The sequence below is a fragment of the Homo sapiens genome, chromosome 17 (assembly GCF_000001405.40).
Source record: "Homo sapiens chromosome 17, GRCh38.p14 Primary Assembly".
Lineage (NCBI taxonomy): Eukaryota > Metazoa > Chordata > Mammalia > Primates > Hominidae > Homo > Homo sapiens.
The window spans coordinates 81,434,798-81,459,817 of NC_000017.11; the positions used below are offsets into that span (position 1 = coordinate 81,434,798).

General features: G+C 65.1%; 1 protein-coding gene, 1 long non-coding RNA gene and 1 other non-coding gene across 9 annotated transcripts in view, besides 2 other annotated features; 1 reads left to right on the top strand and 2 right to left on the bottom strand.

The window, feature by feature from the left end:
* The window catches only part of BAHCC1 (BAH domain and coiled-coil containing 1), a 70,875-nt gene that overhangs the window by 39,341 nt on the left and 6,514 nt on the right, over window positions 1-25,020 (top strand). For 3 of the 5 annotated variants that reach the window (NM_001291324.3, XM_047436467.1, XM_047436466.1), the window contains exons 4-24: window positions 3,573-3,695; window positions 7,034-8,767; window positions 9,012-9,120; window positions 9,584-9,771; window positions 9,871-10,029; window positions 10,218-10,381; window positions 10,557-10,884; window positions 11,941-12,033; window positions 12,239-13,051; window positions 16,871-17,073; window positions 17,174-17,310; window positions 17,926-18,054; window positions 20,470-20,593; window positions 21,500-21,788; window positions 22,613-22,795; window positions 23,368-23,669; window positions 23,824-23,928; window positions 24,016-24,172; window positions 24,257-24,371; window positions 24,456-24,531; window positions 24,699-24,807. In NM_001291324.3, the coding sequence (NP_001278253.1) occupies window positions 3,573-3,695; window positions 7,034-8,767; window positions 9,012-9,120; window positions 9,584-9,771; window positions 9,871-10,029; window positions 10,218-10,381; window positions 10,557-10,884; window positions 11,941-12,033; window positions 12,239-13,051; window positions 16,871-17,073; window positions 17,174-17,310; window positions 17,926-18,054; window positions 20,470-20,593; window positions 21,500-21,788; window positions 22,613-22,795; window positions 23,368-23,669; window positions 23,824-23,928; window positions 24,016-24,172; window positions 24,257-24,371; window positions 24,456-24,531; window positions 24,699-24,807 (5,640 nt within the window). The remainder of the gene's footprint in view (window positions 1-3,572; window positions 3,696-7,033; window positions 8,768-9,011; window positions 9,121-9,583; window positions 9,772-9,870; window positions 10,030-10,217; window positions 10,382-10,556; window positions 10,885-11,940; window positions 12,034-12,238; window positions 13,052-16,870; window positions 17,074-17,173; window positions 17,311-17,925; window positions 18,055-20,469; window positions 20,594-21,499; window positions 21,789-22,612; window positions 22,796-23,367; window positions 23,670-23,823; window positions 23,929-24,015; window positions 24,173-24,256; window positions 24,372-24,455; window positions 24,532-24,698; window positions 24,808-25,020) is intronic. The other 2 variants (XM_011525063.3, NM_001377448.1) reach the window with 2 other exon arrangements.
* Window positions 16,307-16,391, bottom strand: MIR3186 (microRNA 3186). Its single transcript, NR_036152.1, has one exon. It is a non-coding gene; the product is annotated as a microRNA 3186 (primary transcript).
* Window positions 19,097-20,078, bottom strand: LOC124904084 (uncharacterized). Of its 3 annotated transcripts, none has more exons than XR_007065944.1 (3): window positions 19,773-20,078; window positions 19,466-19,607; window positions 19,097-19,281 (listed from the first exon to the last, which is right to left on the bottom strand). It is a non-coding gene; the product is annotated as an uncharacterized LOC124904084 (long non-coding RNA). The 3 variants fall into 3 exon arrangements; XR_007065943.1 differs by having other exon boundaries at window positions 19,466-19,638; XR_007065945.1 differs by having other exon boundaries at window positions 19,763-20,078.
* Window positions 21,077-22,025: an enhancer, noted in NCBI's record as "H3K27ac-H3K4me1 hESC enhancer chr17:79422900-79423848 (GRCh37/hg19 assembly coordinates)". NCBI's record gives its function as "activates a minimal SCP1, AML or CMV promoter by ChIP-STARR-seq in naive H9 embryonic stem cells {active_cell/tissue: H9 hESC(naive)}" and the evidence as "EXISTENCE:reporter gene assay evidence [ECO:0000049][PMID:30033119]".
* Window positions 22,026-22,974: an enhancer, noted in NCBI's record as "H3K27ac-H3K4me1 hESC enhancer chr17:79423849-79424797 (GRCh37/hg19 assembly coordinates)". NCBI's record gives its function as "activates a minimal SCP1, AML or CMV promoter by ChIP-STARR-seq in naive and primed H9 embryonic stem cells {active_cell/tissue: H9 hESC(naive and primed)}" and the evidence as "EXISTENCE:reporter gene assay evidence [ECO:0000049][PMID:30033119]".

Consider the following 25,020-nt stretch of genomic DNA (forward strand, 5'->3'; position numbering starts at 1 on the left):
GGCTGGCCTGGAGAGGGCAGGGCCTCGACGTGCGGGGCTGTTGGGAAAATGTGCTGTGTCAGAACGCAGGAGGGATGAGGGGGATGAGGTACCTGGAGTGGGGGTGCCCGTCAGGCAGCCAGGGCTGGTGCACCCTGGGTGGGGGCTCCTCCTCCCTCCCCAGGGGTGAGAAGCCACCAGGCCTCCCTTCTCCAGGTGGGCAGGAGGAAAGGAAGGGTCCCCTCACCCCTGGCCGTCCCCAGCCCCCATTTCTCTGCACGGTGCCCTCCCACTCCTCTGTCCTTCAGCCCTGCCCCAGGGGCACCCCCGACCCCCACTGACTGCCCACTCTCTCTCCTCCTGCCCACACCACAGGCCTCCTACCTGCAACCCTTGACCTCCCCAGACGTGGTGAGCTCAGGCCTGGGGGTGGTTGGGAGGGGTCTGGGGGTGTGGCCATTGTGTCCCCCGCCCAGCCCACGCGTGGCCCCCTGGCTTTACTAACCCATCAGGTGCCTGTGGCTTTGAGCCTCTGTCTCCTGCAGTCTGTCCCATCACAGGACTGAGTTTGGAGTCTCCTGCCCACCGCAGTAGCAGGGGCAGGATGTGGGGACCTCGGTGCGACCCCCACTGCCCCCAGGGCTCTTCCCCACGCTCCACCAGGCTCCGAGGGCACCAGCAGCCTGTGTCCTGACCACCTCTCTGGCGGTTCGCTTAGCCCAGGGCTTGCCCTTGTCTGTTGGGGTGATCATAAAAGCTCCCGTCTCAAAGGGGTCTGGGAAGGGGAGGTTCTGGAGCCCCGACGTTCTAGCAGGAGCTTGCAGTTGAGGACCTCTGGCTCTGGGTTCATATGGCCCCAGACCCTGCTGGCTGAGCCCTCTTGGTCTCTGGCCCCGGAATGTCCCCTCCCTGCCATCTGGGGCCTCTACTGTCCCCCTGGAGCCCTCCCCAGGACCACCACCCCCACTCCTCAGTGGCAACCCCTTCCAGGATGCCTGTGTGTCCCCGGCCCGGCCGCAGCAGCCCTGCCTTCCCCCACTCCTCAGTGGCAGCCCCTTCCAGGATGCCTGTGTGTCCCCGGCCCAGCCACAGCAGCCCTGCCTTCTGGCTTCTGGCCTCAGAACAGCTGCTCTGATTCATAAAAATCATTTTTAAATTTTCTTTCTCAGTTTTGAGAGTATGGTCTTATTGGGAAAAAGAAAGGGGCTTTCTGTCGCTGGGCTGGGAGGACCTTTTCCCTTCCTTTCTCTGCCCCCTGCCCAAAGATGACCCCACCCTGCCGACTGGGCCTCTCCGGCACCCAGCCCCTCCCTCTCTGCTCCCCGCCCCTCCATCCCATCTCCCCACTCCCTCCTCCTTCCCTGGCTCCCTAACTTCCCCTCTGGGTCCTCAGAGGTGGGGACCCAAGCAGGCAAGGATGGGGGCACCAGCCAGGCCTTTGGTCTTCGGGCCCTGGCCAGTGCTGCCCTGCTCACCAGCCCAGGGGCCACCAGCCAAGGCCCAGCAGCTGAGGGACACGCATAGCTGCCCACCCGCAGCTGCCCCCAGAGGGGACCGGCGGGAAGGAGCCCACTCCTCTGCCAGCTGACTGCCTGCTCCCCGCAGAGAGCGGATGGGCTGGAGGCCTGGACCTCTGGAGGGGGGACCGGGGCTCCGTGCCTGGGAAACGGTGTCTGGGAAGGAGGAATTTACAGACTTCTGTTTACCAAAATGAGGCCTCGTAAAACATTTAACAGCAGCCAATTAAAGGGGGACAGCTGTGGAGGTTTAACAGTACCCCCCAAGGCCCTGCCCCTTGCCCTGCCACTCCCCTACCCCCGCCCCAGGTCGCTCCCACCCCGTCCCTCTCAGCTTTGGTCGAATCTTCCAGGATTGGAGTTTAATCTGGTAAACAGCTGCTCCAGATGCAGCTCCCACACAGACCAGGCCAGTCGGCCAGGCTCGAGCCTCAGCCCCGTGTCCTCAGCTGGAGGGCAGCTGCAGGGCTGCACCAGGGCCAGGGCGCCCTCCCCAGGTTCCCAGACTTGGCCTGGGATGTGCGGCCTCACAGGGAGATGGGGCTTCACCCTGTCAAGCAGGCCTCCGTGTCGCAGGACTTCCCAGGGCCTTCCCTGTGCTCACGCCCTACACGACTCCAAATGGGACGTGTGTGGGGTGCATTCTTGGAGCTGGTGACCCAGAGCTTGGGTTTCCTGGAGCATCTCCTGGGGCTCAAGCTCCACAGATTTCCCTGGGATCCACTGAGCCAGAGAGGATCGAACAGTGCCTGCCACTGCTGGGGGACCCACTGGGATTGCGGTGTGGGGTGCCCCAGTTGGACTAGGGGGCCTGTTTTCCAGGGAAGATTCAGAGCAGGAGTTTTAGAGGGTGAGGGCCCCCCGCCCTGCCCCGCCCAGCTGCGTTCATTCCGGCAGGTTGAAGCTGTGGGTTGCCTCAAACGTCTTCTCCTCAGGCCTACAGAAGGCTGCCAGACCCCCAACCACAGCCAGCCGCTCGGCCCTCACGTTCAGGCAGCTGCTAAGGCAGGCCGGCCGGCACTGGCACCACCTGCACTGCACGGAGGGCTGGGGCTGGGGCTGGGCGGGTCTGAGTCTCAGAGCTCTGCCAGTGGCCTGGGGTCTTGCTGGGGAACCAGAAGCCACACTCCTTGTGGCTGGTGTCCCTGGTGTCCAGCAGACATGCTCTCTGCAGCCCCTGGGCTGGGTTCTGGTGCCTGCAGGCCTCCCAGGCCATGCTCAGCCCTGTCCTGACCTGCCAGCTGTGCTTCATCCCTTGGGTGGGGGCAAGTGTGCCCCACACAGCCAGAGCTGTCCCAAGGCCCAGGGCCAGCCGCGTGGGTGGCTGGGTGTGGCTGGCTTTCCTGTGCTGGGCAGGGGCAGGCCGCTCAGAAATGTGGCTGCCTTGAGGGACAGACAGACCCCTTAGCCAAGAGAGGGGCCTGTCTGGCATGACTCGGAGTCACCGCCTGGGGTTTTGGGGCTGGGGCCTGTGCAAGGAACTCTTTGCCCCCGTCCCTTCCCCACCCTGTGCAGATCTCAGAGCCGGAAGAGGCCTGGCCATGGTGGGAACTCGGCGTCGGATGGACACACCTGTGACCTCCAGCCAGGGTCGGGGGAGGCTGGCCACACCCCAGCAGCACTGGCCCCTGGCCTGGGCTGTCCACTGGGCCCTGGGGCCTGCCTTGGGGAGGCCAAGTCCGGGCCTGGTTCTCCTTTGGCCAGGGCCTTGGCGCAGAGTCTGTCCACCGTGCCCCCTCCTCCCACAAAACCTCCCCAGAGTCCCTTTTGTTGCCCAGCCTGGGAGCTTCCGCGATCCTGAGTGCTGCTAGGAGGGAACAGAGGCCCCCTCGTCCGTCCTCCCCTCTCCCCAGCCCATCAGCAATTCAATTTGTGCCGCACCGGAGGGATGGCATTAGTGGAGTCAGAGTTAATATGATGTATTGATGGGTTGATTTCCCCCCGGCGGCTGCGTGCTGGGCTCTGCGGGACATCGCTCCTGGGCTGCCTGCCGGCTTCTTGCCTCCCTGGGGTCAGGGCGAGTGTGGGCCAGGGGGCTGGGAGTTGCCTCTGCAACTGGGTCTCTTGCTTCTCTAGCTCCGGGGTACCCCAGATTTTCGGGGAGTCTGGCATCCACCTTCCTACCCGTGAGCCACTTGGATCACCATGGAAACAGCAACGTTCTCTATGGGCAGCACCGTTTCTATGGAACCCAAAAAGGCAAGTGCAGCATGGGACCGGCGTGGGGAGCAGGCATGCTGGAGGTGGGGAGGGGGCGCAGGAGCTTCTGGGGCACAAGGGAAAGGCCAGCCTAGGTTAGCCCTCCCACCAGGTGTCATCGAGGCCAGGGTGGGGGCTAGAGGAGAGGGTGGGCCTGCCCCTCAGGATTTAAACCCAGGGGCCCAGGACCACCCCCAGGCGCAGGTTCAGTTCCCAGGTCACGCTGTCTCAAGACCTCTCACTGCTCAGGTGGGAGCAGCTGAGCTGGTGCCCACCTTCCTCATCACCCTAGCCCCACCGGCTTCCTCAGGACCTGGCCTTGCCCTGCAGCCCCCAGCAGCCCGGGGATGGTGGGGTGGCTCAGGAGGAGGATGCATCCTGTGGGGGCTGGAGGAAGCCCACAGAAGCCCGCACTTCCTGGCTTACACACCCGGTGGCCTCGGCTAGACCTGGGCTGCACGAGGCCCAGCCCCCAGCCCCCAGCCCCCCAGCCCCGTGTCCTGGTGGACAGAGGGGCTGCTCACCCCATTGGCAGCAGGCATCCCTGAAGAAGGGATGCAGACTTTGTCTTTGCTGAGAAGTCAGAGCCGGTGGGGCCTTGGGGAAGAGGAAGCTCAGGCCCAGCAGAGCCGAGTCCTGGTGCCAGCGAGTCCCCTCAGGGTACCGGAGAGGGCCTGGCTGGAGGTGGGATGGGTGTGGGTCCTTATCTCCAAGTTGGGTTTCCTCTGGTAGGGCGACATCTCATTTGCATTTTAAAAAGTTCTCCTTGGGGTGACACCAGGAGGCTGGAGCAGGAAGCCATCGGTTAGTTACCAGGTTCCAGTGAGAAGCGATACAGGTGTGGGGCCCCACAGGGGCCGGCATCGGTGATATCTAGGAGGGAGATTGGGGGCAGGGAGGGATAGAGGGGTCTAGGTGGCCCCCGGTTTCTGGCCTGGGCTATGGGAGGGTGCACCTGGGGAGCAGCAGTTGGACGGTGGGGTGAGTTCTGCTTCAGTGCAGAGGGGCTGGGGCGTCTCCCCAAGGGGATCCGAGAGGTGTCTGGACACACGGGGTGGGGTCAGTGGGGAGGGGTGGACTGGGAGGTTGTCCCGACTGTGGAGAGGGACGCCCAGGCTGTGGGGGATGAGAAGGGAGGTGGGGACAGATGGTTTCCGCACAGCTCCTGGGAGCCCGGGAGCCCAGGAGCCCTGGCGTTTAGGGCTGGAGCTCAGGGTGGGGGCAGAGGAGAGGCCCAGAAAGGCCCCCACAGGGCCTGGGAGGCGGACTAGACACCCTGAAGGGAACAGAGGGAGGGGACCCCAGTGAGCCTGTGCTCATGAGTGGCCATGATGACCCCAACTCTGAGTGTGAGCTGTGGGGTAGGGACCCGAGGCCAGTCTGCCCACCCTCTCTTGGCTGCCCCTCAGCCCCTTCTCCCCACCTCATACTCACTCCAGGACCTCTGTGTGGCCTGCACTTCCTCGCCTGCAGGAGCCCGAGATTTGCTAAGGCTCAGGAGGGCCTTGGCCTTGCCCTTGTCAGCCAGCTGCAGGGGAGCAGGCATGGGGGCCAGGAACTCACCACCAGCCCCACCCAGGGGATTCAGCTCTCACCCAGGACAGGCACCCAAACCGGTCTCCTCACCCCACACCCCAGCTCCTGTGGACGGGCTCTGCTGCCCAGAGGACAGCCCCGCAGGCCCCGTTCCCCTAGAACCGCGTCAGCCCCAGCGCGTGCAGTTATTTTGACAGTGTTTGTCAGGGGCGGGCAGGTGGCGGGTCCCAACCCCAGAAACCCAACCCCTCCACCAGCACAGGGGACTCCCTCTGGGCAGTGGGCCGGCCAGGCCTCTCGGCTTTCACAATATTTTGGTGGAGCTGTGTCCAAGAACAGTATTTGGTTTTGGAAATGGAGCTAATTAGGTTTCGCTGGGGCTAGCCCCTTCCCGCTCCCCTTCCCCCTTGTTTCTAATTAGCAGGAAATTGACAAGGAATTTACATGCCTGAGGACAATTTTACAAGTTCCAAATGTTTCTTTTGTTTCTCCCCTTGTCAGCTCCCTCTGCTCTTGGCACCACCCTGCTGCCCACCCACCCAGCTGGGTGTGGAGAGGGACAGCACCCCCAGGGTCCCCAGAGGCGGTGGCCTGGCCCCCTCTGTGGGGCGATGGGTAACCCCAGGGCAGCCGGGAGTGTGGAGAGCTTGGGGCAGACCCTAGCCGGGAAGGGAGGGCCCAGACCGAGGGCCCAGGCTGGGCAACCGTTTCAGGGACCCCAGACACTCACCCCCCACCAGGCAGGGTGAGCACAGCTGCTGCTCTCTGCCCCCGGAGCCACTGGCCTTTCTCCATTTCAACATATTACCCTAGCCCCAGCAGCCTGAGACACCCAGATGAGAGGCCGAGGGGCTGGGAGCTCCCAGGGTGTCCAGCAGGTGGGTGAGCCCTTCCTCCGCGACCCACCCGTCCTTCCTCGCCTCTCCTCTGGGGGCGCCAGGAGCTGCGCCTGCCACCTGTCCCTGGTTTCCAAGGTCTTGGTGCCTGTTTGTAAAGACCCAGCAGAGATGCTCTGTAACACTCACTGCCTGCCCCGCGTCCCCCGAAAATCCACTGCCTGCCCCGCGTCCCCCGAAAATCCCCACTGGCACTGGGCCAGGCAGGGGAGAGACTGGCCTCGGGTTTGCATCTCCCATCTCTGAGGTGTGGGGAGCTGAACATGGGGGCAGAGGGTGAGTGTTTCACGGGGACAGAACTGCGGTTCGGGGAGGTGAGAGGTTCTGGCCATGGATGCTCGTGACGGCTGCACGGCAGGGGGAGTGTGCCCAGTGCCCCTGAACTGTGCACCAAAAATGGGAAATTTTATGTTACCCATATTTCACTACAATTTTATAAAAACAAAAGCAAAAACCAGCCCGGCGCTGTGGCTCACGCCTGTAATCCCAGTACTTTGGGAGGCCAAGGCGGGTGGATCACGAGGTCAGGAGATCGAGACCATCCTGGCTAACATGGTGAAACCCCGTCTCTACTAAAAATACAAAAAGTTAGCTGGGCCTGGTGGCGGGCTCCTGTAGTCCCAGCTACTCGGGAGGCTGAGACAGGAGAATGGCGTGAACCCGGGAGGTGGAGCTTGCAGTGAGCCGAGGTCACGCCACAGCACTGCAGCCTGGGCGACAGAGGGCAGAGCGAGACTCCGTCTCAAAAAAAAAAAAAAAAAAAAAAGAGCAAAAACCTTCCCTAGGCTGTAACCTGGAGTCAGTGCCAGCTGGTGTCCGGGAGGCACCTGGAGCACCTGTCTCAGGGAGTCTTTCTCCAGCCTCACCCCTAAGGCCTCCCATTGACCTTGGCTCTTTCCCACACAGATAACTTCTACCTGCGCAACCTGCCGCCCCAGCCCACGCTGCTGCCGGCCAACCACAACTTCCCCAGCGTGGCCCGGGCCGCCCCTGCCCACCCCATGGGCTCCTGCAGCCGGGATCGAGACCGGGGTGAGGCAGGCTCCCTGCAGAAGGGCCCCAAGGACTTCGACCGCTTCCTCGTGGGCAAAGAGCTGGGCAGAGAGAAGGCGGGCAAGGCCGCTGAGGGCAAGGAGCGGCCAGCGGCAGAGGAGGACGGTGGCAAGGAGCGGCACAAGCTGGTGCTGCCCGTGCCAGCCGACGGGCACTGCAGGGAGGGCGGCCCCGCACCCCGAGGGGCCTGCGAGGGCCGCCCCAAGCACCTCACCTCCTGCCTCCTCAACACCAAGGTGCTCAACGGCGAGATGGGCAGGGCTGCGCTAGCCAGCTGTGCAGGGGGCATGCTGGGGCGGCCTGGCACGGGGGTGGTGACCTCCGGGCGCTGTGCAAAGGAGGCAGCAGGCCCCCCGGAGCCCGGGCCGGCCTTCAGCGAGTGCCTGGAGCGGCGGCAGATGCTACACCACACCGCATCCTACGCCGGGCCACCCCCGCCCCTCAGCACAGCCGCCGGCTCCTTCCCCTGCCTGCAGCTGCACGGGGGCCCTGACGGGCTCTGCCCGCTGCAGGACAAAGCCCCCCGGGACCTAAAGGCCAGCGGGCCCACCTTCGTGCCTTCTGTGGGACACCTGGCCGACAAGGGCCGCCCCTTCCAGGCCGCCGAGGCCTGTGCCGTGGCAGGGGAGGGCAAGGACCGGCACCTGGAGGGAACCATGGCCCCCGACCACGCTGCACCCTATGGAGTCTCCTATGCCCACCTGAAGGCCGAGGGCAAGGGCGAGCGGCGGCCTGGGGGCTTTGAGGCGGCCCTCAACCCCCGGCTAAAGGGCCTCGACTATCTCAGCAGCGCAGGCCCCGAGGCCTCCTTCCCCGGACTCCCTAAAAGCGGTCTGGACAAAAGCGGCTACTTCGAGTTGCCCACCTCTTCACAGGACTGTGCCCGGCCTGGTCACCAGGACCCGCTGGGCGGGAAGGCCCCCCAGGCCTGCTGCACTTTAGATAAGACTGTTGGCAAGGAAGCCCCGGCCGGCCCCCCAGGGGCACAGAAGGTGGCCCGCATCAGGCACCAGCAGCACTTGATGGCCGCCGAGGTGGAGCAGGGGGGCATTGGGGCTGAGGCCAAGCGCAAGTCCCTGGAGCTGGCATCCCTGGGCTACAGTGGGCCCCACCTGCCCCCATGGGGTGTCCAGGCAGGCCAGGGCACCGCCATGGCCATCAGCGAGGAGCGCAAGGCTGGCGCCTACCTGGACCCCTTTGGCAGTGGCCTGCAGCAGGCGGCTCTTCTGCCCCAGGAACTGCCTGCGCCGCCGGACGAGGTCTCAGCCATGAAGAACCTGCTCAAATACAGCAGCCAGGCCCTGGTGGTGGGCCAGAAAGCACCCTTGGTGGGCCTGGGTGGCCTCAAGGCCAGCTGCATCCAGCAGGAAGCAAAGTTCCTGTCCTCTAAGGGCCCAGGCCAGTCGGAGAGGCCGGACTGTGCCCGCAGCAGGGAGCACGACACCACGCACGGCGACGGGGAGGTGCGGCAGCCCCCTGTGGGCATTGCAGTGGCCTTGGCCCGGCAGAAGGACACAGTGAGCCGGTCTGAGGCAGCCTACGGCACCAACACTGCGCGGCAGGGCCGGGCCGCCCCCGCCTTCAAAGGTACAGGCCCTGCACAGAGAGGGAGGCAGGCCGGGACAGTCTAGGGGGCCCAGCTGGCCCTGCCCTGCGCCCCGGCTCCCCAGCTCCCACACCTGCCCTTGGCAGACCCTCCGAGGCCCCAGGACCAGGGGATCCTCCTCAGTGCATCAGGCCCCCCAGCTCGAAGCGGGGTCACTGCTTGCCTTAGCTGGTGGCTCCCTGGCCGCCCCAACCCTCTCCCGTCTGCTGTCTCGACCCTGTGCAGGTGGCGGTGGGCCCCGTTCCACACACGCGCTGGACCTGGAGGCTGAGGAGGAGAGGACGAGGCTATGTGATGACCGCCTGGGGCTTGCCAGCCGCGAGCTGCTGCTGCAGTGAGAGCTGGGCCTGTGGCCCTGGAGAGTGGGGCTAGGCCTGGGCTTGGGGCTCCCCACTCAGAGCCACGTGGAGAAAGAGGGGTGGTCATGGCTGGGGCAGCAGATTCTATGGCCGGCCGTGGGTGGGGTTCTCCCCACCCCTAGAGCCTTTCTGGAGTCTCACCCGGGGTTGGGGGTCTCAGTTAACCCCTTGCAGCGGTCAGGTTACCCACTTTCAGGGGCCAGGAGATGGCCCCCAGTCAGCCCTGCAGAGCACTGAGGCTGGAGCCTGGGGTTTTCCCTGAGCCTCCAGGTCCCGTTCTCCCTCCCAGGTTGATGGCAGGGGGTGGGACAGGGAGTCAGGCATTGGCACCGTTGGTGGGGCTGAGCCCCAGGTCTTACAGAGACAACAAAGGGCCGGGGGTGGGATGGGGAGCTGGGCCTTGGCGCCGGCGGCAGGGCTGAGCCCCAGGTCTTACAGGGACAGCAAAGACCGCGTAGAGTTCGCCCGGATCCACCCACCGAGCAGCTGCCCTGGGGACCTGGCCCCCCACCTCATGATGCAGAGCGGCCAGCTGGGCGGGGACCCAGCCCCCCACACCCACCCCCATCCCCCCTGGCTGCCCCGCACCCGCAGCCCCTCCCTGTGGATGGGGGGGCACTCCTACGGTCAGTGATCCAAGGGCGGGGGCTGGCCTGGGGCTGATGAGGGTTCCCTCCTGGTCCCCGAGAGTGCGAGGCCTGACCACTGTGCCCTCTGCCTCCCAGGCCTGGGGCACCCTGCCCTGCACCAGAACCTGCCCCCCGGCTTCCCCGCCTCCGTGGCTGGCCCTGTGCCCTCTGTCTTCCCCCTCCCACAGGACGCCCCCACACAGCTGGTCATCCTGCCCTCAGAGCCCACACCCCACAGCGCCCCCCACGCACTTGGTAAGGGCCCCTGGTCCAGGCTGCTGTACTTGGGGGGTGCTGTTGGAAGGAGGGGCAGCCGGGGGTGTGCTGGCCAGGGCTCAGGAGGGAGCGGTGGGCTTGGTGGGCTGAGGAAAGGGTGGCGGGGAAGCAGCCCCGGAGCTGTCCCCTCCCCAGCCAGGCTGACCCCTCCTGGGCCCTGCCCACAGCGGATGTCATGGACCAGGCGTCACTGTGGCCCCCCATGTACGGGGGCCGGGGCCCCGCCTCTCACATGCAGCACCCGGGCCAGCTCCCTGTGTACTCGAGGCCGCAGCTCCTCCGGCAGCAGGAGCTCTATGCTTTGCAGCAGCAGAGGGCCGCCCAGTTCCAGGTACCGCCCCTAGCCACGCTCACCTGGGCCGGGCACTTCTCCCCAACCCTGCCTGGCCGGACCTGGCTCCAGGAGACCCCTGCATGCCTGGCCTCTGGCAGGATGAACCCAAGCAGGGGGCCCACTGGGGTCAGGGGATCCTGAGCCTGACCGAGCTTGCCCCCATCCCTGACAGCGGAAGCCCGAAGACCAGCACCTGGATCTGGAGGAGCCCGCCCAGGAGAAGGCCCCAAAGTCCACCCACAAGCCAGTTGCCTTAACCCCCACGGCCCCGGGCGCCCCCTCACCCGCTGCAGGCCCCACCAAGCTGCCACCTTGCTGCCATCCGCCCGACCCAAAGCCCCCCGCCAGCTCCCCCACCCCACCACCTCGGCCCAGCGCCCCGTGCACTTTAAATGTCTGCCCTGCCAGCAGCCCCGGGCCTGGCTCCCGGGTGCGCAGCGCCGAGGAAAAGAATGGGGAGGGTCAGCAGTCCACGGCCGACATCATCACATCCGAACCAGGTGAGAGTAGCCGCCTGGCCCGGCCCACTGTGCTCCGCTCCAAGCCCTCCCACCCCTGCCCGGCAGGGCTGCGCTGAATCCGGGCTGCCTGCAGGGAGGCGCCACACCTGCCCAGACCCAGGGCAGCATGGCTGTTCCCTTCCTCTCTCTTCCCTCTTCCCAGTCCTCCCAATGACCTTGGGAGAAGCACACAGTGCCCCAGCCGCCCCCTTCCTGGCCGTGGGCTGACGAAGGCGGGAGGAAGACGGGGTCCCGCTGGCTGTCGTAGGGGCCCTCCAGCAATGAAGGCGGGGCCTGCTGGTGGTGGTACTGGCACCCTGGGGGCACTGGGCATGGGACTTGACCAGGCTGCCATTCAGGGTCTCAGCAAAGCTGGGAGAGGGAGGGGCAGCGAGGCGGGGTGCCTGGGTGGGGGGGTCTCGGGCCTGGCCTCGGCCCCTGCCACCCGCCCATCCACTCCCCACCAGCCTATTTGATTCTCTCTGAGTGGGACTGAGAGGTCACACTGGAAACCGTGTGGCGAACATAAAACCCGTCCTAGTTTCACAGTCAGGAGATGGAGCTAGCAGAGGGTTTTTCCGTTTTTTTCCCTTCGTTTTTTTTTTCTTTTTTTTGCAGTTAATGGGACATGATGCCTCTGACATGCTGCCGGCTTGTTCTGGTTCAGGGAAAACCCTGATTAAAGCATCATGTTTTACAAATTCCCCCTTTTCTGGTTACCCACAGCATACCATGCCAGAGATGGCTCCTGAGGCCACCCCCAGCCCCGGCAGCCAGGGTTGTTGGGGGGAGCTTCAAGGCCACTCTTTAGGGGAATGAGGGCCTGGCCTCAGGCTGCTCACACCTTTTTTTTTTTTTTTTTTTTTTTTTTTTTTTTTTTTTTGAGACAGGGTATCTCCCTATGTCGCCCAGTCTGGAGTGCAGTGACGCGAACATGGTTCACTGCAGCCTCGGCCTCCTGGGCTCAAGCCATCCTCCCACCTCAGCCTCCTGTGTAGCTTGGACCACAGGCATGCACCACCACGCCCAGCTCATTGTTCTTTAATTTTTTTGTAGTGGCACGTGCTCACTCTGTTGCCCACGCTGGTCTCGAATTCCTGGCCTCAAATGATCCATCCACCTCAGCCTCCCAAAGTTTTGGGATTACAGGTGTGAGCTACTGCACCCAGCCAGGTTGCCCCCTTAATTAACGTAACCCTTTCCCCGCCACCAGTCTTGCAGACCTGCAGCTAGCCCAGGGCCCTTCCGCACGGGCTTGGGTCTGAGGGTTCGAGGCCACTGTCCTCCGTCCTATCGCAGGACACCCCCTCACCACCACTCCCAGCTCCCTGCTGACCTGTCCCCTCCTTTGCAGACCTGCCTCCCGGATACCTGCGCCCCATGGCTGGCCTGGGCTTCTCCCTACCCTCAGACGTGCACTCTTCTAACCTCGAGGACCCTGAAACTATGCAAACCACCGCCCCGGGGGCCCAGCCTGAGCCCACAAGGACATTCCTGCCTGGGGAGCCGCCTCCCTGCAGCCCCAGGAGCCTGGAGGAGCCCGGGCTGCTCTCAGGGGCCAGGGAGGCCACCCAGGACCTTGCCGCCACCCCCTACCCTACCGAGCGGGGACCCCAGGGGAAGGCAGCGGACCCCAGCCCACTAGAGGGGCTACAAGAACTGCAATGTGCGGCCCTCCTGGAGGCAGGGGGCCCCGAGGCCACCGGCCAGGCTCATTCTACTCAGGGAGGGGCACGAGAAGAGAGGAGCAGGGAGGAGGGGGAGCAGGGGCCCTCGTCAGGGGCCTCCTCCCAAGTCCTGGAGCAGCGAGCAGGGAGTCCGGGTGCCCTTGAGGACGAGGGGGAGCAGCCGGCCCCTGAGGAGGACGAGCTGGAGGAAGACGAGCTGGGGCAGCAGAGCATGGAGGACTCAGAGGAGGACTGTGGCGGAGCTCCCGACAACAGCCACCCACCCAGGGCGCTACCAGGCCTGGATGCCTTGGTGGCCGCCACCATCAACCTGGGGGACCTGCCCAGCGACAGCCCACCGGACCCTCAGCCCCCAGCGGCCTCTGGGCCCCCCAGCACAGTCCCCCTGCCTCATAGCTCAGGGATTCATGGGATCGCTCTGCTCAGCGAGCTGGCTGACCTGGCAATCCAGCGGCAGAGGAGTGAGAGGACTGTGCCAGGTAAGCCCGGTGGTTGCCGCCACCCCCCAGAGTCCCAGCAGTGGGACCCACACGCCTGCCTCAGGGTCACCTGGCCAGACGGCAGCCTTGGGCCCCGCTCAGTTGTCCCCAAAGTGTGGTAGGTCCCCTGGAGAGTGTCCGCCTCCCCTTGCCGTCCCTCGTCCATGGAAGTCCGAGGCAGGTGTGCCATCTCCGAATCTCTCCGTCCCAGGTGGGGCCCTGGGAGCAGGACTAACCTCCATGGTGGTCTCAGAGGAAGGGCCTCTCGGGCAGCACCTCCTGTTGGAAGTGGCTGAACAGGGGCTCGCGTCCTGGCAAGGGGAGAGGAGAGCCTGCCGCCTGCCTCCTGCTCTGCCAGGCCTCCACCTCCTCAGCCTCCACGGCTGCTACCCTGGCCTGGGGGGTCCAGTTCAGGAACCGTCGGCTCCCCGCTTCAGGCCCAGGGGAGGGGGCAGGAGGCTGGGGCTCCTGCTGCAGGGAGGCCTATGGGACTGGGAGCTCCTGGGCTCTTCCGCCCACCCAGGGGCCCCAAGGACAGCCGGACAACAGTGGGCGGGTCCAGAGCACCTGGGACACCCGAGGGCCAGGTGTCTGCTTCGTCCACCCTGGGCCTTGGTCCGGGCACTCCCTGCGGTCCAGTGCTCCCGGGAAAGCGCCCGCTTCCTGCCGTCTTCCCTGTGGGCCCCAGAGAAAGCCCCGGGGTGGAGGGCGTCCCCCAGCCGGGCACGGCGCCGTGGTTGTTGATAGCACGAAGCTGACAGTCTTCAGGGCTCGGCCGCTGCTTTCTGGATGCATAAAGCTCACCACCGCGATGAAGAGAATGTTCTCGAACAGTGCATTTCCCCAGGGGCCCGTGGTCACCCTGTGCTGGATGAGGCTGCTGGCCCGCACGCGGCAGGGGTGGTTCCGCAGTGCTGGGAGCTGCCTGCCCTCGGGGGTATCTGGCCCAGAGTCCCTGCTTCTGGGTGGGGCTGTGCAGAGGGTTTGAGGAAGCTTGGAGTCCTACCAGGGTGGGCTCCACCTGGACCCCCCAGAGGCCCTCCCTTGGGCCTCCAGCTGGCAATATATGAGAAGTTAGATAGGGCGAGGTGGAGGCACCTTGGGGCAGGGCCTGAGCTGCCAGGGACCCGCCGTGGGAGGGTCTCAGGGACCCTCACCTGGCAGCATGAGGAGGCGTCAGTAGATAGCAGGTCCCGTGTGTATGGCCAGAGTGGCCGGTCTGCCTGTGTGAATGCCTGCAGGACAGGAGCCCGTTCACTGCATGAATACTCATGTGTAGACCACGTGTCCCGGGTGGTGGGCCATGTGGCTTAACCCAGCATGGATGTCGTCACACTCCGGCCAGGCCAGGTGTCCCAATCCCCAGGGTGTGCAGAAGTGGAGTCAGGGCCAGCTCTGCCCTCCGGGTCTCCACCTCATGGTCCCCCCCTGGGCCCCCACCCCTGCCCCTGCCCTCCCCTTGTCCCCGTTAATGGGCAGGTCTCTGCAGCTGCTGGGCTCAGAGCTGATCCCTACAAGTGTAGCGATCACTTCAATTGAAATTAATTAGGAGGTTGGTTTTGTCCTGTGCCAGACAGCAAGATTTGCAGAGGGGGAAGTGGAGAAAAAGCCCCCACCATCGGGGCCGGGCAAGCATAGAGCCCCCAGGACTGGCAGAACCATCTGGGTGAGGCCACGTGGGAGCCACACGCCTGTAGCCTGCAAGGGCAGGGGAGGCACAGAGGGGCTTCTGGCCAACTGCAGTGACCCCAGGAGACCTGGGGCCTTCAGTGGAAGGGGCCTGCAGATGTGCCTCCCCGGCTGCTGATGGCAGCAGCTGCTCAGCCCACCCCCCCTCGGCCCTCTCTCCCCCTCCCATTCCCTGCGGATCCTGGACCCAGCAGCCTGAGTGTTCCCTTGGTCCCCATCAGATCTGTGGTCTCGGTCCAGAGCTTTGCACCCCAGCATCTGCCCCTCCGAGCACCTCCTGGCTTCTTAGTAATGACTTCTGGGGATGGATCAACCCTTGGTCTGGGCTTGTGGCCCCCTGGCCCTCCCCATACTTGAGGAGGGAAGCAGCCACGCACCATGGAGTGCCCCAGCCTGGGCGCTCAGGTCAGTGCCTTTGGTGGAATCTCAGGTGCGTGCCCCAGCTGTCAGGCGCTGATTTGTCCCATCGTGGATGGGGTTCTCCCGCACTCCTGCTTCTGGCTGAGATGAGCCATATCTCTGGGGAGCCCCGGTCCGTTAAGTGGAGCGTGGGGTTCTGAGGCAGAGACTAGGTTTGGGGTGCTCGTTGCTGTGAGGTTATCGTTGCTCCTGGGCTTTCCCAGGGGATACCAGCACCTCTACTCACCCCACAGGGGTTCCGCAGTTCTCCTGCCTTCCTGGCCATCACCACCCACCCCCACCGCAAGGTGTCTGGCTCCTGTCTCCTGCTGGATGTCCTTGTGGGATCAGCCCATGGGGACCCCGTTCCTGGTCTCTGTGGTCAGCCCTCAGGGCTGGCTTCCCCTACTCAGGCCCTGAGTCCCCAACCTGGGCCCGACCCTGCATGGACGCCAGCCTCTGCTGGCCCATGCTCTGACCCCAAGATGGGCCATCCCTTCCCCAGGCCACTGCCTGGGCTGTTGGGCTGCCGCTGTTCCTGCGGTCACTGTGAGGGTAGCTCCCCTGTCCCTGCCCCCAGGTTGAGGTCCCAGAGGATGCGGCCCTGGCAGCCCCTTCCTCCTGACCTGTGTTCAGCCCATGGCCCTCCTGCCTGCCCCAGGGCTGGAGCGTGCTGGAAAGGGCTTGGCAGAGCCCAGCACTGTGTTCAGAGACCGGGCAGGGGCAGGGATTTGGTGCTCTGAGGGAGGATGGAGGAATGGTGGCTGCTCCTCTGAGAAGGGTCACAGCAGATGAGACTGCATCCAGAAACCCCTGCCCGCTGCCCTCCTCACAAGGAATCGAGGGCCTGGGGTCCCAGCTACCCAGGAAGCTGAGGTGGGAGGGTACTGGAGCCCAGGAGTTCGAGGTTGCAGTGAGCCGTGATGGAGCCACCACACTCCAGCCCAGGCAATAAAGCGAGACCCTGTCTCAAATTTAAAGGTATCGAGGGGACTTGTCCCCTCCCTCTGCACTGACCACTGGCCTCCCTGCAGCCATTGCTCTTTAGGTGTCCACACAGGCGAGTGGACGGAAGGACTGATGGGCAGATGGACAGGCAATGGCAGGTCTTAGCTGCTGGGGGACGCCAGCCTCCACCACCTGGATGGAGTGATGCCCAGGTGCTGAAGCCCCTGGTTCCAAAGCCATCTCTCCGCGTGACTTTGAACTTGGTTGAAGCCACGTAGACAGACGCCTGTTGGAACCGCAGGCTTGAGCCACAGCATTCAACTCGGTTGAACTTCAGCAGCTTCCGTGCACGAGGCCTCAGTGGGCTCTCGTAGCACTGCCTGTGTCTCTGAGGGCCCCAGAGTATCCCTTCCCAGGGCTGCCGTTCGAAGCAGGGCCCCCCCGGTGGGGGGACACACAGGCGTTTCTGTTAGAAGCTGTAACGAGCAGATTGCTTTTACTTCGATGCTTTGGGGCCTGTCTTGCTCTGTGACACAGAGGACCCTGCCCCGTGGGTCCTCCCAGCTGGCCCTGCCTTACCACCAAGGGAGTGTCTCCCCAGCATGCAGCAAAACAGGGGTGCTGGGTGTCAGCCCTGGTGCCCACCTCACTCTTCCCGGTCTCCTGACCCTCATCCCGGTCTTCAAGGCTGGGTGGCTTCAGGGGGCCAGGGCTGACATCAAGAGCCTGTGAGGGGCAGTGTGTGCCCAGTTATGCCCATGCTGACCTTCCCATGCCGCACAGAGGAGGAAGAGGACGTGCTAGCCTTCAACCTGCAGCACCTGGCCACGCTGGCCACAGCCTGGTCCCTGGTGGAGGCCGCTGGCCTGGACAGCTCCACTGCCCCAGCGCAGCCGCCCACAGCCAACCCCTGCAGCGGCCCCAGGCTCACCCCCCGCATGCAGATCCTGCAGCGCAAGGACACCTGGACCCCCAAGACCAAGCCTGTGAGTGGAGGTCCCAGTGCCCACGTCGCCCAGTGCGTTGCCACAGAGCCCCAGCCTGGGCCCTGGCCCGGCTCACAGGCCCCTGTGCCCCCCCCACCAGGTGTGCCCCCTGAAGGCCGCCATCGACCGGCTGGACACGCAGGAGGTGGGGATGCGCGTGCGGCTGGCGGAGCTGCAGCGGCGCTACAAGGAGAAGCAGCGGGAGCTGGCCCGCCTGCAGCGCAAGCACGACCATGAGTACGCCTGGCGTGGCGGGGGGGCCTGGGAGGGTCGCAGCACCCCCACCCCCGGGAGGCGCCCACAGTGCTGGGGCCGATGTGGGAACAGGCCAGGATTGGGCTCTGCCCCCTACCTGTGGGCAGACACCAGGGTCCATCGGGGAGGCCCCCCAGAGGCAGTGGGGCCCAAGGAGGGAGGCATTCGGCCAGCAGCGAGACCAAGTGGCAGGGCCAGGGGTCTGTGGAAGAGCCGCTTGTCAGAGCCTGGTGTGGCAGGAGGCTGGCCGCAGGGTGGCGGGTGAGGGGACAGTGGCAGAAGGGGGAGTAGGGAGGACTGGGGGTGCTGTGGGGCCAGGGCAGAAGTTGGGGGATTCTCTGGGGGAGGGGACACCCCGCAGTTGCAACAAGGGCAGGGGCACCACCTGACCAGTGTGTGTGGATGGTAGGAGGTGGGGGCGGCGGGGGCCCCTGGCTGGCCTTGCCCTCTGCGTGAGGGGTCAGGCTCCCCAGGCCGAGTCTGGGCCGCATCTTTCCCCACACCCAGTAGCCCTCGAAGGCCAATGCCCTCGGCTGGAACCTTGTCGGGGAGCTGGGTTGTGCATGAGCCTCTGACCATCCCCCCTGCGGCCCCCAGGAGAGACGAGAGTTCACGGAGCCCTGCACGGCGGGGGCCTGGCCGGCCGAGGAAGCGCAAACACTCAAGCTCGCTGCCTGCCCCACGTCCCACGGGGCCGCTCCCCAGGAGCGATGGCAAGAAAGTCAAGTGAGTCCTGGGCACTGGCATGGCAGGGCGCGTGTGGCCGGCCCTGGGCCCTCGAGGCTGGGGAGCAGGGTCCAGGCTCCCCTGAGGCTTCCAGGCTGCTGGTGCCCCTTCACACCTACTCTGAAGGCCTGGCCCTGCCCTTCCTAGACCATCGAGAGTGACCAGCAGACAGAGCCCTGCTCCAGACAGGCTTTGCCCTTCTGGCAGCTCCCAGCACCACCCTGGCCCGGGTCCCCCTCTGGAAGTCACGGCCCCCAGGCCCAGCCACGCCGGCTCTGCACACCTGGCTGTGGCATCGTCCCCGCCCGGCCCCCCTGGAGTGTGAGGCGGTGTTGCGTGCAGGCCTCTTTATCTGCACTGTATAAAGTCGTTGGTCACGCTGTGGAGCTGCTCACGGCTGCCGGCGCGATGTTATTATCCATTACCCGCCCGGCGCAGTCGTTGGCGCACTCCCGGGCCTGGTATAATTGTCCTTCTCGGCTACAAATTGCCTCTCCCGGCAGGCCCATTTGCATAAATCCTCCGAGCTCCTCCAAACACGATTGGCGCGTGCGTGTGCGCACTGCATCAATCCTGATGATTTGGTAATAATAGTTAAATCGGCACTAAATGGTTCCTTCAATTAAGACAGGCAAAAAATTAATCTCAGGGCTTCATGTCACAAAACATTAGCAAATGCAGAGAAGGTTACGGGGAGGGGCTGTGTGGCTGTGGGCAGTGGAGGGGTCACCATATGGCTGCCCCCCCCCAGAGCTGCCCCTGCCCTGCCCAGGTGTCTCCTGGGGGGGGGTCTCCTGGGGTCTCCCTTTGAGAACCAGCCAGCACTGTGGGAACTGCTGGGCAGGACAGGGCCCCTGGAAACCAGGATCTGGCTAGAAGGCAGCAGCCTCAGGACAGGGAGGGAAACTGAGTCCAGGACCCCTCTTCCCGAGGGTCAGGGCCCCACCTCACCCTTCCACCTCCTGCCCTCACTCATCCAGGCAGTGGTGGCAGAGGCAGTTGGCCCCGGGACGGGCCTTCTACCATGCAGGAAGTCGGGGAGCGGGGGCCCAGGGGTGCCTTGTGGCCCATGGCTTCCTGCCTGGCCCCTCAGGCCTCAGAAGCCCAGCCTCCTCTGTGAGCAGGAAGGTGGAAAGGGACATCCGGCCACGCCAGGCCAGGGCCAGGCAGGGCTCTTTGTCTCCATCTGGGATTCATTTTCATGAGCAGCTGGGTATCCCTTTGCACCTGTGGGCAGGTGGGGGTTGAAAGGTGAGAGGCCAAGCCCCCAGCCCCTGTCTAGCCAAGAACAGGCAGAGAGACTCCCCAAGCCTTGGCTTCTCCATGTGAAATGGGGCAGTGGGAGGTTCTGGGGAGGGTGGGTCACCCACACAAGAGGGGGAGCCCAGGATGTGGGGGGATCAGGTGGGACCTGTTTTGGGGCATCTGGAGGTAGCTGCTGGGCCCATGTAGGCTGGAGTTGACTTCTGCCCCAGCTCCCAGCCTGGGGGACAGCACAGCTCTGGGGCATGGGGAATACTGAGGCTCAGCCTCCGCAGTGTCCAGGGCTCCATCTGGGAGGGGCCAGGGATGCAGAATTCCATCCTTAAGACCCGCGTGGAGGACAGAATGGGCTCCTGAGAGGGCCTGAGCCCGGCAACGGGGTCCCTGGGGACTCAGGGGAAAGCCCAGGCTTCTCTGGACACCGCCCCCACCCCACCCCACCCACCTGCCCCTACCCCCGCCCCTGGTGGGACTCCGGTTGGCACGTCCTCTTCCAGCTGTGGCGGAAATGTGGGTGCAGTTCTCACAAACCTGCCCGGTGCCTGCCCCACTCCTAAGGGTGGTAGTATCAGGCCCTGAACACCCGCCAAGGGCCGGGCCCGGCCTGCATAAGCCCTGCCCCAGACTCAGACAGGCACATGTGTGGCTGTCCCTTGTTCCAGGTGCCAAGGCTGGGGCTGCAGCCCCACTCAGGCCCCAGTAGCAGCAGAGCCCTGGCTCCTGAGCACTGGGCGGCCCCTCAGAGCCCTCACCGGCCCCAGCCCCCGACACCTGGCCTCTGGGTCACTGTGGCTAGGACCAGACAGCACTGCCAGGGCGTTCCTTCCTATCAGGCTGGAAGGATGGGATTTGGGTAACAGAAGCGTGCCCACTTCCAGTATAGCCAAGTGGGGGATGGGGCGGATTTGAGGATATAGGGACTGCTGAGGGCCGGTGGTTGGCAGGCAGAGGGGCTGGCTGCAGGCAGGTGCTCAGAGGAGGTCAGAGCTGGCTCGGCCCCCGGGGCCCCTCACCCCCTGCTCTGTCTGCCCGAGACGTGGGGCCCTTGGAGGAGGGTGACCCACAGTGTGACCCACTACAGAGACAGTAGGGGGACAAGGCTGGGGCGGCCGGGCCTGCATCTGCCCTGCACCCACCACCCCATGCCCCCAGGGCGGTGCGGACAAGCCTGGGTCTGCTGTGTGCGGAGCTGCGAGGAGGCAGTGGGGGCGAGCCTGCGAAGAAGCGAAGCAAGCTGGAGAGGAGCGTCTATGCGGGCCTGCAGACTGCCTCCGTGGTGAGTGCCGAGGCGCCCGCCTTGCCCCAGGGCCCTTCAGGTCCCTTCAGGTCCCTTCCTGGCAGGTAGCAGACTCTCCCCAGCCCTGTGCCGAAACCCATTGCTCAGATGAGCGAAGCAAGGCTGGGGAGCTCCGAGCGCCGACAGCAGGAGGAGGAGGGTGACCCTGCGGTGTAACACAGGAAGGTCTGACCGGGTGGCCCTGCCGCCACTTGCCCACGTCACTCCACCCTCCTCGTCTCACTCCAGCAGGAAAGCAAATGCCCAGGCTACACTCTGCTCACAGAGACTCCCTGGAACGAGGCCCTGCCTTTCTTCAGGTGGCCCAGGGCACACTTGGTGTGGCGGGGGCTCCTCCGGCTGCCGGCACCCCCTTTCTTCTTGGTGTGGGGGGGCTCCCCACGCTGCTGGCACCCTGTTTCTTCTTGGCGTGGTGGGGGCTCTCTCGGCTGCCGACACCCCTTCTTTCTTGGCACAACAGCTGCCTCCTGCCCCTCCTCTCTCCGTGGCCTCGGCGGGGCTGGTGAGACGTGGGCCCCAGCATACTTCACCTGTCTGCCCAGGGGGCTGATCCTTCTGCCCAGATGCTGTTTTATCCCTCCCTTTAGAAAAGCTAACAGCCTGGCCCCACAACCCACAGCCACTGGGCCCTCAGCCTCCTCCATGTCCCCTACGTGGGGTGGGCAGTTGGTGGGCAGTGGGTTGTGTGGGAAAGGCCGCAGCGTAGGCTCCAGGGGCAGGCCCTGTGTCTCTGGGCCAGACATCCCTTCAGCCCCTGTGGATCGAGGGCAGGGGCCTCGAGGTACCAGTTCTGAGCCGGGCATCAACAGAGAGGCACCTAACCGCCCAGGGGCTGTGGTTTGCAGAGGGCGCCCTGAGAGTGCAGCTGCCCCTCCCTGTTCACAGGAGAAGGCGCAGTGTAAGAAGAGCAGCTGTCAGGGCGGGCTGGCGCCCTCCGTGGCCCACAGGGTGGCCCAGCTGAAACCCAAGGTCAAGAGCAAAGGGCTGCCCACAGGCCTCAGCTCTTTCCAGCAGAAGGAGGCTACCCCCGGGGGGCGCATCCGGGAGAAGCTGTCCCGAGCCAAGAGTGCCAAGGTGTCTGGGGCCACACGGCACCCACAGCCCAAGGGCCACGGCAGCCGGGAGACACCCAGGTGCCCAGCCCAGCCCTCCGTGGCTGCGTCCCAGGAGGCAGGCAAGTTGCTGGCGTGAGTGGCCACTGCCAGGAGCCCCGGTCATGGTCGCTCGGGGGCTGGAGGAGGGGGCGGCAGGTTCATGGCCGCCACCAGGGCTGGGTCATGGCTTGTGGGGTGTGACAGGTCCAAGGAGACGTTTTCACTGAACAGGCTGGGGAAGGAGATGAAGGTCTCACGGAAGGAGACCCCCATCCCCAGGCAGAGCTCAGTGGCTCAGCATGCCTCACCCCCATGTCAGGGCCGAAGGGGAAGGAAGGACCCCCACTGGAAGCATCCAGGTTAAAAATAGCCCTCTCAACGGCCCCAGCCCCTGTGACTGTAGCATCCGGCTGAGCTGACCCTGAGGCGTTATCTGACCACCCCCCCCAGCAAACACGTGTGTCCAGAAACAGGAGCCTAGAAAAATAGAAGCTTCCTTTCTTCTGCCAGCCCCTTCCCCCAAGGTCTCAGATGCCTGAGAAAGAACAAAGGGAGGGCCGCTTGGGGCTGGGGGAGGGGCAGAGGGCCATCTGGGCGGAGGACAGCAGAAAAAGGGGAAGGGACTTTCTGGGGAGGGGGCCCCAGCCCTGCCTGGTGGGTGCCCTATTGCCCAGGGTATAAGAAAAAAACACCCCTCCCCACACCCATACAAATCCCTTCAGGCTGGAGGCCAGGACCTCAGGCACCTGCCCCCAAAGCAGCCCCACAGAGCGGCCCAGAGGGTGACGGTGACCAGCTCCACTCACAGCCCCGCCATAACCGCATGCCCAGAGGGTCACCTCCCCCACCTCTCAATGGCACAGCTTACCATCAAGTCATCAGGACCCCTCTGCCTCTCTCCCAGGCAGTGGCTATGACAGTGAGGACTGCGAGGGTCTCCTGGGGACAGAGGCACCACCCAGGGAAGCAGGGCTGCTGCTGCACACCGGGGCCAGTGTGGCCGTGCTGGGGCCCTCACCCTCCTCTGTGGTCAAGATGGAGGCCAACCAGAAGGCCAAGAAGAAGAAGGAGAGGCAGGGGTTGCTAGGTAACCAGGAGGGAGGACAGGGGTTGCTAGGTAACCAGGAGGGAGGGCAGGGATTGCTAGATAACCAGGAGGGAGGGCAGGGGTTGCTGGGTAACCAGGAGGGAGGGCAGGGTTTGCTGGGTAACCAGGAGGGAGGGCAGGGGTTGCTGGGTAACCAGGAGGAAGGGCAGGGGTTGCTGGGTAATCAGGAGGGGGAGGGCAGGGGTTGCTGGGTAACCGGGGGGAGGGCAGGGGTTGCTGGGTAACCAGGAGGGGGAGGGCAGGGGTTGTTGGGTAACCGGGGGGAGGGCAGGGGTTGCTAGGTAACCAGGAGGGAGGGCAGGGGTTGCTGGGTAACCAGGAGGGAGGGCAGGGGTTGCTGGGTAACCGGGGGGAGGGCAGGGGTTGCTGGGTAACCAGGAGGGAGGGCAGGGGTTGCTGGGTAACCAGGAGGGGGAGGGCAGAGGTTGCTGGGTAACCCGGGGGCGGGCAGGGGTTGCTAGGTAACCAGGAGGGAGGACCGGCACAGTCAGCCCAACCAGCCGGGTCTCTAGGATGGGGACCCCTGTGACGGCCTCCTCTCCTTCCCACAGGGGCCTGCCGCCTGTCCAGCCCTGAGAGTGAGGTCAAGATCAAGAGGCGGTCGGTGAAGGCCAAGGTGGGCACCACCCTGGAGCGGGCCCCAGGGCAGAGGCCCCCAGGTGCGCTGGGCAAGAAGAAAGCCAAGGGCAAGGCCAAGGGCAGCCTGCGGGCAGAGCCGGGGGCCACCCCCAGCAGGGACGCCCTCTTCAACCCCTCTCGGGCCTTCGCCTGCCGTGAGGAGGGCAGCCAGCTGGCCAGTGAGCGCCTCAAGAGGGCCACGCGCAAGGGCACAGTGCTGCAGCCAGTGCTGCGGGTGAGGCTGGGCTCTGGGGTGCTGGGCGGAGAGGGTGGGTGCCTGTGAGGAAAGGCCTTCCCCGCCCTCCCCCGCACGCTGGCCCCTGAGCTCTGGGTCAACCTGAGGCTGTCCCACCCTTGACTCAGCCCCTTCTCTGCCTGCCCACGCGCAGCGGAAGAACGGGGCCCTGTCCATCACGCTGGCCACACGCAACGCCAAGGCCATCCTGGGGAAGGGCCGGAAGCTGAGCAAGGTGAAGCACAAGGCCGGCAAGCAGGTAGCAGCCCCCCACTCTGGGAGCCCACTGTGCACCCACCTGCACCCCGCCTGCACCCCACCCAAGCCTGACTCCTCTGGCCCCCAGGGCAAGGGCCGGGCCGTGAGCCGCCTGCTGGAAAGCTTCGCCGTGGAGGAAGACTTTGAGTTCGACGACAACAGCAGCTTCTCGGAAGAGGAGGAGGACGAGGAGGAAGAGGAGGAGGACAGCGGCCCTCTGAGCGCAGAGCAGAGCGCCGCCCTAGGTGAGCAGGGCCAGGAAGGGTGCCAGCCGCCTGGGGAGGGGTGGTGGGTAGGCCGTGCCGGCCGCTGACACCTTGTGCCCACAGCGCGCTCGTGTGCCATCCACAAGGAGGACCTGCGGGACGGGCTGCCCGTGCTCATCCCCAAGGAGGATAGCCTGCTGTACGCGGGCAGCGTCAGGACCCTGCAGCCACCCGACATGTGAGGCCTGGGCATGGTGGGGCAGGGCAGGGGCCTGGAGGGCAACCGAGACCCGTGGCACCTCACATTCCCCAATGCCCCCAGCTATAGCATCGTCATCGAGGGCGAGAGGGGCAACCGGCAGAGGATCTACTCACTGGAGCAGCTGCTGCAGGAAGCGGTGAGGACCGGGCCGGCCCGCCCCGGGGAGGGGCCTGGCTGGCTTGTCCCAGGACAAAGGAAGGCCTTGGCCTGGGCCGCAGCCACTCCCAGGCCCAGGGACCAGACTCTCAGGCAGCCCTGGGCCAGGCCCCACCTGCTCATGGGTCGTCGCCCGCGTTCCTGCAGGTTCTCGATGTGCGGCCACAGTCCAGCCGGTACCTCCCGCCCGGCACGCGGGTCTGCGCCTACTGGAGTCAGAAGTCTCGATGTCTGTACCCGGGCAACGTGGTCCGGGGTAAGTTGCACCCAAAGCGGGGGCTGGGGCAGGCCCCTCTGAGACCCACAGGCTCATATCTGCCCCCAACAGCCTGGCTTCCGAGGCTGGCGAGGGCAGAACCAGCTCTCTGCTTAGACAGAGTACGACAATAAAATGAGCTCCCCAGGCGCCATGAAAAAGCACAGGGTGTGTGGGGAGGGAGGGTGGGGGCTCCGGCCTCCAGCCAAGCAG